Raw genomic sequence first — 13,551 nt, forward strand, 5'->3', positions numbered from 1 at the left:
GTGGTTTTTCCAGAGGGAGGCTGACATGTGCAACTTTGGTGAGTCTTGGCCAGGGGGTTCTAAGGGGCAATCTTATGATAAAAAACAAAGCCTTGAACTCAAAGACAGCTGTGGGAAGGCCTTGCCAGCATTGAATGGCTGAGGGGAAGAAAAGCATATATTTGATACAGAGACAGTCATTGGCCCCTACCATGCCCCTTCAATTTGGGCAGAGCTGGGCACCACAGGCCTCCAGCACCATCAGGCGGGCTGAGTCTGTTGCATTGCGAGGAGTGGTTGGATGCCTGTCTGTGTTGAGGCTGAAGTTAGTTCCGGGGATGTCTTTCAAATTATCCAAGGCCAAAGCTGCAAAGCAGCCAGCTTCCTGCCAGGTATGAGGAAGGGACAAGCCTGCCCAACTCCCTGGAATCTTGGTTTTGGCAAGGAAAAATATTCCTGAATTTGAGACAGAAAAATAGTTCACTTCATGTTTCTGGCATAGATCACCAAGATCTCATAGGAGCATTCACAGTTTGTCTTCTAACCTTGCTGGAGGAGCCCAGCTCTCTCAAAACAAATTGCTTGCCTAAAGGCCAAACCACCCTTCATTTCATGAGAGAAAAATGTGATGTGCCTTGCTCTGAGCAGTCTGCGGTTCTGGTTCATAGCAGCCAGGGCTGGGAGTGATGTGTCAGTGGTGTTAACAGTAGTCTTGGGTCTTTAGCGATCTTATGACTATAGAGCATGCAAGAAGTTCATCATGGACTCAACTTTTCAAGTCTATCTAAAAGAAAAATCCAAAAGATTTTTCTCCCACTCACCTGAGAGGAAGTAGAACTTTAAAATGGTTTGTTTGGCTATTTATGTATTTGCTACTTTATGGTCTTGCCCTTCCTTCTTACAAGTAGGAAATTTTGAAACTTCCCAGCCTCCTTCCCCTGCAAGGATAACTTGTGAAGCCTATAGAATTAACAGTGGTTCAACTTTATGCTACACAAAACGGGGGTAAGCTGGGCTGGGTGTTCTTCTGCTTGAAGTAGGAAACGATTTCCTTCCATGTGGTAGGGCAAAAATAGCCAAGTGGAGGCACTAGCACATTTGCTCATGTATAGGTTATGCAGATTTTGAGACTAAAGTTACATCCTGCTTCTGTTTGTGAACATACTTTGGCCTAATGTGATTTCATGTGGGGCTATGGGGCTAATCCATAGTGAACACACACCAGGAACTGGTGAAGTTTCTCCACCTAGCTCAGTGGTGGCTTATTCCAGCTTTTAAATGAAAGACACTTCTGCATCTGGATCCAGGAGGAATCTGTTTATATCATGGGTCAGCTGCCTTTTTTAGCAGGGATGGAGAATGGGGCAGGACTGTCACATTAGAAAGGACTAAACCAGGCCTTTTATTTGCATGGCTGGAAGCTCTTGAGATCACAGCCAGTAACAAGATACCAAAGAAACCTACTGAAAATCTCTACCTCAACCACCTTTCATGGTGAATCTAAGCTGCTGCAAGCTGTTGTATTTGCTAAGAAGGGTACAAAGTAGGTGCAGTGGCTACATCCCAGGTTCCCTGACCATCTCCTGCAAGCTTGACTCACACAACCACTGCCATCTCACTGTCCCTCTGACAGGTGTAGGAGGACATGTGACACCAAGTGTGTGGTTGGCCCCTGACCCTCTGGCTCGGCTGCTCTTAGAGCGAGTGGAAAGGGCGACCCCGGGTTGTCAGTTCCTGACCTCATGCCCTGCTCACGGCTACTCGTAATTCCTGTGCAAGACACTTGGAATCTTCCTGTTGTGTATGCTAAGCAGAAGTGAGGTGTGATGTTTCTCAATGGATAAAATAGCTCTTTTATTGAAGTAATTTATGAAAACACTGATTTTTGGTGTACTTTGGGAGTAAGACACTGTCATCTGAGAGTGTGTTGTCTACACGTTTCTATCGATGTTTTTCGGATGTTCATGTTGTCTCTTAGCTCTCCTGCTTTCTCCCACAGATCTAATGGTATTTCTTAAATGACAGCATCTCAGGGACTTGATTGGTTATATTTCAGTAAGAAACAGTATGTCAGGGAGGAAAATCTTAATTTCTGGAGGCAATGCATCTTAAACCAGCCCTCAGTTACTGTACATGGACCAAGCACAGCCCATCCAGCCGCATCTACTCACTGTGCAGACGCACTGCTCCCTCTGTTGTGGTTCCCTTATTTCCAGCCCCAAAACACCTCTACTTTCACTTAGCTGGCTTTTTCTTAGCTGGCTTACATTTATGTAAAGTAATAGCCTTTTTAAGGAGTTAGTTAAAATTGAATAAGTAAATATTGAATAAACTGTAAATGTTATTACTGAACAGATTCTGTCATTAAGAAGCCCATGTGTTGATGCCAGCCTTATTTGTTTCATGAAGTATTGTTTCTTTTAATATTTATTTTTTAAATTTTAATTATTATTATTATTATTTTTTGAGATGCAGTCTCACTCTGTCGCCTAGGCTGGAGTGCAGTGGCACAATCTGAGTTCACTGCAACCTCCGCCTCCCAGGCTCAAGCAATTCTCCTGCCTCTGCCTCCTGAGTAGCTGGGATTAACAGGCGCCTACCACCAAGCCTGGCTACTTTTTGTATTTTTAGTAGGGACAGGGTTTCCCCATGTTAGCCAGGCTTGTCTCGAACTCCTGACCTCAAGTGATCCGCCTGCCTCGGCCTCCTAAAGTGCTGGGATTACAGGCGTGAGCCAATGCACCCGGCCAACTTATGTTTCAATTAATTTTCGTTAGTCGTAAGTTTTTAAAACAATAAAGGTAGTGGAGATACTGATTTTTTTTTCCTTTTAGGTTTCAAGAGGAGCTTTGCTTTAGGCTTGTTAAGCATAGGGTGGTTGAAGTATCATTTGTGTGGCACGACTTAGGTATTGGTATTTTCTTTTACCATTGTTCACTTAAGAAGTTTTCAAAGAGTAATATTCACAAGTTAATGAGGACATTAACAAACAAACAGTGAAGATGTTCATCAGTTAATTAATTTATCAGCAACTTGGGTATTTCTTTGATTCTAAAATGTACTTTCCCTCCCCCACATTTCACCGTCGTCTATTTATTTTCTTAATGATGGATCTCAGATGAAGTGGTACATAAAGTTCCTTGCTAGGCATTTGTAAGATTCAGGTCTAGGTCATTTGTGTGAGTCTCAGTAAGAAAGAGGAGAGATCTGGCCAAAGAAAGCTCATTTTCCTGTTTTCAGTCAGGAGGATCTCTCACATTGGTTATTGATCAAAAACTAGGACTGAATCAGAGTTTGACATTTTCTTTCTTTGTGAATCATTATTTTATTAATGATGTTTAAAATTTAGGAGCAAAAAAGGCATTTCCAACAATTCAATTACAGATGCCATTTTATTCAGCTTTTTCTGTCAAACTGAATTGTTCATTCCAAATCCTTGCTTTTAGAGAAGAGCTGAGTGTGTAGGAAAAAAAGAGGGACCACTTGAAGTCTGTTGCAAGAGAAATAGAGATCAAAGTTCACAACATACAAAGAATTTATTTATGCAATACAGGCCTTTTCTCAAATATTTTTCACAGAATTCCACACAGTAATCTACTAGAAAAGTAGAATTATACACCACCAAATAACATTGTTTCGTTTCTTAGTACAAATTGCTAATCAAAAGGAAGGTGGAGATGATAGTTTAATAACAAATAGTAAAACAGGTGTTGCTGAATACAGCACCCGGTAGCCTCTATTTGCAAACCCGGGGAGGGAAGGGGGTGCCCCAACAAAACAACAGTGGCTCCGCCTCATTGTCCAGGCACAGGCAAACCGCAGTAGTGAGCTTTGGTACTTGCATTTACTTTAAAAGAAAAACAAATGTTGTGAGCTCAAGAGCATTTCCATCATTTCGTTTTGTTGTGCTATGAAGATGACAGATCAGGAAAAAATGGTAACTATTTCACACTTGCTATAAATTAGATTCCTTGTGCTAACCACACAATAAAATAGCCTCCCCCAAACCATACTTTTCTAGGTCTAAAACATGCTTGAAGAACAATATTGATAGACAGACTTAATTGAGATGTTTTAAATTACATTTACCATAATTTAAACATTACTATTTAAATCCCAGAAATATTAGTGCTGAAGAAGCACAGTTGTTTGGAAAAATACAGGACCCAAATTACAGCATCAAATTTTCCTATTCCAATATTGTAACCCACTTCCCCACTGTGAAAATCCTATTTCTCAAGCTTGTAGATGCATGGGAAATGTTCTTCATAATATTATAGCTGGAATAAGTGGTTTACTTGCTCCACTGTATGTTTCCATAATTGGTGAAAATAGACTTCTCATTATGACTAAAAATATAGATTTTTTAAAACTACAGAACCCAGCAGCCAGTTTTCTGCTTTGCTAATCCCCCCCAAAAAAGTCAAGCAAAGACTACAAAAATAGCAATTATTAATAACTTTAAAAAATATTTTGCTTCTTTGAGCAAATTTAAGTTACATTCAGATGTGGTAGAAGAGAATGATGCTCCAGGTACTTCTGCTCATCCTAGGGGCAGAGTTGATGTACAGCTGTCACCATCAGTAGCGGGTTTGGTATTCATGATGCCACCGGTTAAAGTCGTTGTAAAATAGCACAATGCTTCCTGAAGCCATGCCAGAAATGATGCACCTAGGAGAAGCACAGAGAGAAGGACTTTTACAAACCTGTGTGTCCTAGAGATGTTACTAAAAACTGCTCTCCCCAAATCCACAAGGTAAATATAGAAGCTGGCAGTGAAGGCTCCAATTTGTGGGAACTAAGGTATGTATTTCATGACTAAAATGTATCCCTGAGTAAGCTCAGAGTACTGCCTCTGACACTCCACAAGGATCCAAGCCACAGCTTGCTTTTTCATTGAAAGGGTACGGACAGCTGGTATGTGCAGGATGAGTAACTAAAATCTGAACAGATTTGTAACTAAAATCTGAACAGATTTGGTAATTTCTAAAGGGGGACTGGGCTGGCAAGACCCATCCATTATATAAGCAACAGACTCAAAAGAAGGAACCACAATCTCAAAGTAACTGCTGGTGGAAAGAAGCAGCACACACTCAAGTGACAAGAGACACCACCTCTGACAGGTACAGAATCAATGAAGAGTGAAAAAGAAGAGTGTTGTTGACCATAATTTAAGCTGGTCTCCCCTCTGTGGAGAAGTAGTCTATGTCCATCATGCTCTGGGTGAGGACCTAGTCCTCGTAACACAGTAACTCACCGAAATCACTGAAGATAAGAACTTCTGCAAGCTTCTTGGTCTCCTGTCCCCAAAGAGGTGGTGCAGGGAAAGAGATGGAGAACATAGGTGAACCTAAACTGAGCATAGCCAGATTTTTCTCTGTGTAGTTTGGTTAGGACCAGCCCTTAGAAGCCATATTCAGTATCCTTCCTAGTACCTCGTATCAAAATTAATTAGGAACTAAAATGTGTCACTACAAAAAAAATCAACTAAAAACAAAGGAAGACAGTAAGGAGGAAATGAGAGACAAAACTCTAAGGCAGAGAGAAAATTAAATAGAAAAGTGGCAAAAGTCAGTCTTTCCTTATCAGTCATTAAAGAGATTAAATTCTCCAGCCAAAAGGAAGAGATTGGCAGAATGGATAAAAAACATGATCCAACTATATGCTGTCTACAGGAGACCCACTTGAGATCTAAAGACAAACATCTTGAAAGTGAAAGGATGGAAAAGATATTCCGTGTAAGTACTAGCAAAGAGAGCTGAGGTGGCTTACACTAATATCAGACAAAATAGTCTTTCAGTCAAAAACTGTTACAAGAGACAAAGGACACTACACTGAGAAAAGGGTAAATTCACAGAAATATAACAATTATATATGCATTTATCATCAGACCCCCAAGATACAAAGAGCAAATATTAACAGAATTGAAGGGAGAAATGGTTCTACAGTAATAGTTTTAGACGTCAATACCCCACTTTCAATAATGGGTGGAACAACCAGGTGGAAGATAAGGAAACAGGACACTTGAACAATACGATAAGCCAACTGGACCTGACACACGTATATAGAACACCTTCCCAACAACAATAGAATATACATTTTTTTGCAGTGCGCATGGAATAGTCTCCAAGATAAACCATATGTTAGGCCACAAGTGTTAATGACTTAGTAAAGATTAAAATCACAAAGTAGCTTTTCTGATCATAATAGAATGAAACTAGGTACCAATAACTGAAGGTAAACTAGAAAATTCACAAATATGTGGAAAGTAAATAAATGATGAGTCAAAAAAAACAAACAACAACATAAGAGACATCAGAAAATACTGAGACAAATGAAAAGGAAATACAACAAGCCAAAACTTATGAAATGCAGCAAAAGCAATGCTAAAATGGAAATTTTTAGCTGTAAACACATAGATTTAAAAATATCTCAAATCAATAACCTAACTTTACCTCTTAAGGAACTAGAAAACAGACAAAACCCCAGGCTAGGCAGAAGGAAGAAAATAATAAAGAACAGAGTAGAGAGAAATAAAGCAGAAAATAGTAAAATGATTGATAGGAAAAAACCCAAAAATTGGTTCTTTGAAAAAATAACAAAATTGACAAACCTCTAGCTAGACTAAGATGACTTGGCTGGGCATGGTGGATCATGCCTGTAATCCCAGCACTTTGGGAGGCCAAGGTGGGTGGATCACCTGGGGTCAGGAGTTCGAGACCAGCCTGGCCAACCCGGGGAAACCTCGTCTCTACTAAAAATACAAAAATTAACTGGGCGTGGTAGTGGGCACCTGTAATCCCAGCTACTTGGAAGGCTGAGGCAGGAGAATCACTTGAACCTGGGAAGCAGAGGTTGCAGTGAGCTGAGATTGCACCATTGCACTCCAGCCTGGGTGATAGAGTGAGACTCCATCTCAAAAAAAAAAAAAAAATGACTCAAATTACTAAAATCAGAAATAAAAGTTGGGACATTACTGATTTGGCAGAAACTGAGTTCAGAGAGACTATTAGAAACAACTGTATACCAACAAATAGGGCAACCTAGATGAAATAGACAAATTCCTGAAAACAGTATACCAAAACTGAATGAAGAAATAGAAATGATTAGACTTATGACAAGTGAAGAGATTGAATCAGTAATCAAAAACCTCCCAATAAGAAAAGTCCTAGACAAGATGGCTTCACTGATGAATTCTACCAAACATTTAAAGAAGTATTAACACCAATCCTTCTCAATTTCTTCTTCCAAAAAATTAAAGAATCCAGAACACTTCCTAAGTGATTCAATAAGGCCAGTATTACCATGACACCAAAGCCAGTTGAAGACATTACAACAAAAGAACACACAGACCAGGATACAAAATACTAGCAAACTGAATTCACTAGCATGGTAGTGGGAATGTACACCATGACCCAGTGGGATTCATTCTGGGAATGCAAGGATGACTCACCATGCAAAAGTCAACCAACATATAACATACTACATTAACAGAACAAACAACAAAACAAGCCCACATGATCATCTCAACTGATGCTGGAAAATTTGACATGTGACAAAATTCATCATCCTTTTATTATGAAAACAATAGGAGTAGAAGGAAACTACCTCAAATGATAAACAGCATGTATGAATAACTCACAGCTAACACCACACTCGATGAAAAAAAGTTTTTCCCCTATGATTGGGAACAAGGCAAGGATGCCCACTTTAATCACTCTTATCCAACAGTACTGAAAGTCCTAGACAGAGCAATTACACAAGAAAAAAGTATCCAAATTGGAAAGGAGGAGTGAAACTGTCTCTGTTTACAGATGACATGATCTTGTATGTAGGAAATCCTAAAAATTCCACACCAAAACAAAACAAAAGAGCTAATAAATGAATTCAGCAAATTTGCAGGATATACAACACGAAAATCAGTTGCATTTTTATACACTAACAAACAATGAGCAGTCCAAAAGGAAAATTAAGAATTGCAGTGAGCCGAGATCATGCCATTGCACTCCAGCCTGGGTGACAGAGCGAAACAGAAACCCCTAACAGCCAAAACAATCTTGAAAAAGAAGAAATATGTTAGCAGTTGCACATTTTCTGATTTGAAAACTTACTTACTGTTGTTACAATGCGACAGTAATCAAAACATTGTCACACTGATATAGGCAGACCAACAGAAGAGAAAGTTGAGAAATAATCCCTCACATATGTGCTCAAATAGGGTGCCAAGACCTTTCAACGGAGAAAGCACCTTCTTTTCAACAAATTATGCTGGGAAAATAGGATGTCCACATGCAAAACAATGAAGGTGGACTCTTACCTACCATTATATTAAAAAACTAAAAACAGATCAAAAACCTAAATACAAATTAAAACTATAAAACTTTTAGATGAAAACATATGGGAAAACCTTCATGACCTTGGATTTTGCAGTGGCTTCTTGGATATGATATCAAAACAAAAGAGACAAGATAACAAAACAAACTCATAACAAAAAATAGGACTTCATAAAATGTAAAATCAGGGCTAGGTATAGTGGCTTATGGCTATAATCCCATCCCTTTGGGTGGCTGAGTCAGCAGGATTGTTTGTTTGAGCCCAGGAGTTTAAGACCAGCCTGGGCAACATAGTGAGACCCTGTCTCTACAGAAAATAAAAAAGCTGGGCATGGTGGCACATGCCTGGAGTACCAGCTACCATGTAGCTGAGGCGGGAGAATCATTTGAGCCCAGGAGGTTGAGGCTTCAGTGAGCTGTGATTGTGCCACTGCACTCCAGTCTGGGCAAAAGAGTGAGACCCTGTCTCAAAAAACAAACAAAAAGTAAAATCTTTTGAGCATCTAAGGATATTAGGAAGAGAGTGAAAAGACAACATCACTGATCATTAGGGAAATCAAAACCACAATGAGAGACCACGCCTGTTAGGACAACTGTTAAAAAATAGAGCAAGGTGTTGATAAGGATGTGGAGAAATTGGAACCCATGTAAAATGGTACAGCCACTGTGGAAAACACTTTAGGGTTTCCTCAAAAAGTCAAACGGAATTGCCATATAACCCAGCAATTCCACTCCTGGGCATACACCCAAAAGGACTGTAAAAAGGGACTTGAATAGATATTTGTATGATAATGTTCATAGCAGCATTACTCACCATAGCCAAAAGGTAGAAACAACCCAAGTGTCCATCATCAACAGGTGAACGATAAACAGAACACAGAATATTCATATAATATTCTGATACGTGCTACGACATGCAAGAACCTTGAAAGTGTTATGCCAAGTGAAATAAGCCAGGCACAACACAACAAATATTGTATGATTCCACTTAACAGAAGGTGCTTAGAAGAGGCAAATTCATAGAGACAGAAAGTAGCATGCACATGAGCTGGTGGGAGAGAGAGTCATTAACATGCAGAGCTTCTGTTTATGATGAAAAGGGTCTGGAAATGGATGATGGTGATGGTGGCACAACACTGTAAATGTACATAATGCCACTAAATTATATATCGAAAAGAGTTTAGATGGAAAATATTATATGTTGCCACAATTTTTTTTAAAAGGAACAAAAATGAGTGACTATACGTTAAGAGGAAATAAGGTGCCAGATAAAGATGATCCCCCCAAAATCTACCACTTGAGAGCTTTTAGGAAATAAGCCCTATCTTTCAGGGGACTCTCCATATGCAGAGATATGCAGAGATAAAGGCATTTTACATTAAACATCTTTACAGCTCTTTCAATTTTATTTACTGATAAAGATGATGATACTTCTTCAGGCTGGCAATCGCCGAATAGGAGCAGATCTGGTCTGCAGCTCCCAGTGAGATTGACGCTGGGTGGATGATTTCTGCATTTCCAACTGAGGTACCTGGTTCATCTCGTTGGGACTGGTTGGACAGTGGGTGCAGCCCACGGAGGGCAAGCCGAAGCAGGGTGGGGTGTTGCCTCACCCATGGAAGCACAAGGGGTCGGGGAATTCCCTCCCCCAGCCAATGGAGGCTGTGAGGGACTGTGCCATGAGGAATGGTGCACTCTGGCCCAGATACTGCGCTTTTCCCACAGTCTTCACAACCTGCAGACCAGGAGATTCCCTTGGGTGCCTACACCACCAGGGCCCTGGGTTTTAAGCACAAAACAGGGCGGCCGTTTGGGTAGACACTGAGCTAGCTGCAGGAGTTTTTTTTTTTTTTTCATACCCCAGTGGTGCCTGGAATGCCAGCGAGACAGAACCGTTTACTCCCCTGGAAAGGAGGCTGAAGCCAGGGAGCCAAGTGGTCTGGCTCGGTGGGTCCCACTCCCATGGAGCCCAGCAAGCTAAGATCCACTGGCTTGAAATTCTTGCTGCCAGCACAGCAGTCTGAAGTTGACCTGGGACACTCAAGCTTGGTGGGGGGAGGAGCAGCCAGGGAGCCAAGTGGTCTGGCTCGGTGGGTCCCACTCCCATGGAGCCCAGCAAGCTAAGATCCACTGGCTTGAAATTCTTGCTGCCAGCACAGCAGTCTGAAGTTGACCTGGGACACTCAAGCTTGGTGGGGGGAGGAGCGTCCGCCATTGGTGAGGCTTGAGTAGGTGGTTTTACCCTCACGGTGTAAACAAAGCCTCTGGGGAGTTCGAATTGGGTGGAGCTCACTGCAGCTCAGCAAGGCCACTGTGGCCAGACTGCCTCTCTAGATTCCTCCTCTCTGGGCAGGGCATCTCTGAAAAAAAAGGCAGCAGCCCCAGTTAGGGGCTTATAGATAAAACCCCCATCTCCCTGGGACAGAGCACCTGGGGGAAGGGGCAGCTGTGGGTGCAGCTTCAGCAGACTTAAATGTCCCTGTCTGACAGCTCTGAAGACAGCAGTGGATCTCCCAGGACAGCATTTGAGCTCTGCTAATGGTCAAACTGCCTCCTCAAGTGGGTCCTCAACCCCTGTGTCTCCTGACTGGGAGACACCTCATACAGGAGAGCTCTGGCGGAGGCCCCTCTGGAATGAAGCTTCCAGAGGAAGGAACTGGCAGCAATGTTTGCTGTTCTGTAGCCTCCACTGGTGATACCCAGGTAAACAGGGTCTGGAATGGACCTCTAGCAAACTCCAGCAGAGCTGCAGCTGAGAGGCCTGTGAGAAGGAAAACTAACAAACAGGAATAGCGTCAACATCAACAAAAAGGATGTCTAGACACAGAAAACCCATCCAAAGGTCACCAACATCAAAGACTAAAGAAAGATAGATAAATCCACAAAAATGGGGAGAAACCAGTGCAAAAAGCTGAAAATTGCAAAAACCAGAATGCCTCTTCTCCAAAGGATTACAACTCCTTGCCAGAAAAATGGAACAAAGCTGAACAGTTTGAGAAATTAACAGAAGTAGGCTTCAGAAGGTGGGTAATAAACTCCTCCGAGCTAAAGGATCACGTTCTAATCCAATGCAAGGAAGCTAAGAACCTTGAAAAAAAGTTAGACGAATTGCTAACTAGAATAACCAGTTTAGAGAAGAACATAAATGACCTGATGGAGCTGAAAAACACAGCACGAGAACTTCATGAAGCATACACAAGTATCAATAGCCAAATCGATCAAGCAGAAGAAAGGATATCAGAGATTGAAGATCAACTTAATGAAATAAAGAGAGAAGATTAGAGAAAAAAGAATGAAAAGGAACAAACAAAGCCTTCAAGAAATATAGGACTATGTGAAAAGACCAAATCTACATTTGATTTGTATACCTGAAGGTGACAGGGAGAATGGAACCAAGTTGGAAAACACTCTGCAGGATATTATCCAGGAGAACGTCCCCAACCTAGCAAGACAGACCAACATTCAAATTCAGGAAATACAGAGAACACCACAAAGATACTTCTCAAGAAGAGCAACTCCAGGACACATAATCATCAGATTATGTGAAGGTAGAAATGAAGGAAAAATTGTTAAGGGCAGCCAGAAAGAAAGGTCAGGTTACCCACAAAGCAAAGCCCATCAGACTAACAGCGGATCTCTCAGCAGAAACCCTACAAGCCAGAAGAGAGTGGGGGCCAATATTCAACATTCTCTAAGAAAATAATTCTCAACCCAGAATTTCATATCCAGCCAAACTAAGCTTCATAAGCAAAGGAGAAATAAAATCCTTTACAGACAAGCAAGTGTTGAGACATTTAGTCACCACCAGGCCTGCCTTACAAGAGCTCCTGAAGGAAGCACTAGACATGGAAAGGAACAACCGGTACCAGCCACTATGAAAACATACCAAATTGTAAACACCATCGACGCTATGAAGGAAACTGCATCAACTAATGAGCAAAATAACCAGCTAGCATCATAATGACAGGATCAAATTCACACATAACAATATTAACTTTAAATGTAAATGGACTAAATGCTCCAATTAAAAGACACAGACTGGCAAATTGGATAAAGAGTCAAGACCCATCAGTGTGCTATATTCAGGAGACCCATCTCACATGCAAAGACACACATAGGCTCAAAATAAAGGGATGGAGGAAGATTTTCCAAGCAAATGGAAAGAAAAAAAAAAAGCAGGGTTGCAATCCTAGTCTCTGATAAAGCAGACTTTAAATCAACAAAGATCAAAAGAGACAAAGAAGGCCATGACATAATGGTAAAGGGATCAATGCAACAACAAGACCTATCCTAAATATATATGCACCCAATACAGGAGCACCCAGATTCATAAAGCAAGTTCTTAGAGACCTACAAAGAGACTTAGACTCCCACACAATAATAGTGGGAGATTTTAACACCCCACTGTCAATATTAGATCAATGAGACAGAAAAGCAACAACAAGGATATTCAGAACTTGAACTCAGCTCTGGACCAAGCAGACCTAACAGACATCTACAGAAATCTCCACCCCAAATCATCAGAATATTCATTCTTCTCAGCACCACACTGCACTTATTCTAAAATTGACCACATAATTGAAAGTAAAACACTCCTCAGCAAATGCAAAAGAATGGAAATCATAACCAATAGTCTCTCAGACGCAGTGCAATCAAATTAGAACTCAGGATTAAGACACTCACTCAAAACCGCACAACTACATAGAAACTGAACAATTTGCTCCTGAATGACTACTGGGCAAATACTGAAATGAAGGCAGAAATAAAGATGTTACTTGAAACCAATGAGAACAAAGACACAACATACCAGAATCTCTGGGACACATTTAAAATAGTGTTTTGAAGGAAATTTATAGTACGTAATGCCCACAAGAGAAAGCAGGAAAGATTTAAAATCAACACCCTAACATCACAATTAAAAGAACTACAGAAGGAAGAGCAAACACATTCAAAAGCTAGCAGAAGACACTAAGATCAGAGGAGAACTGAAGGAGACAGAGACACAAAAAACCCTTCAGATCAATGAATCCAGGAGCTGGTTTTTTTGAAATGATCAACAAAATAGACCACTAGCCAGATTAATACACAAGAAAAGAGAGAAGAATCAAATATACACAATAAAAAATGATAAAGGGGTTATCACCACTGATCACACAGAAATACAAACTACCATCAGAGAATACTATAAACACCTCTACGCAAATAAACTAGAAAATCTAGAAGAAATGGATACATTCTT

At 40.8% G+C, this 13,551-nt stretch overlaps 1 protein-coding gene across 11 annotated transcripts in view; it reads right to left on the minus strand.

Moving 5' to 3' along the window:
• The window catches only part of LRBA (LPS responsive beige-like anchor protein), a 751,293-nt gene continuing 741,014 nt past the window's right edge, over positions 3,273-13,551 (minus strand). For all 11 annotated transcript variants that reach the window (XM_047416462.1, NM_001367550.1, NM_006726.5 and 8 more), the window contains one exon: positions 3,273-4,650. In XM_047416462.1, the coding sequence (XP_047272418.1) occupies positions 4,560-4,650 (91 nt within the window). In that variant the 3' untranslated portion in view covers positions 3,273-4,559. The remainder of the gene's footprint in view (positions 4,651-13,551) is intronic.

The sequence above is a fragment of the Homo sapiens genome, chromosome 4, assembly GCF_000001405.40.
Source record: "Homo sapiens chromosome 4, GRCh38.p14 Primary Assembly".
Lineage (NCBI taxonomy): Eukaryota > Metazoa > Chordata > Mammalia > Primates > Hominidae > Homo > Homo sapiens.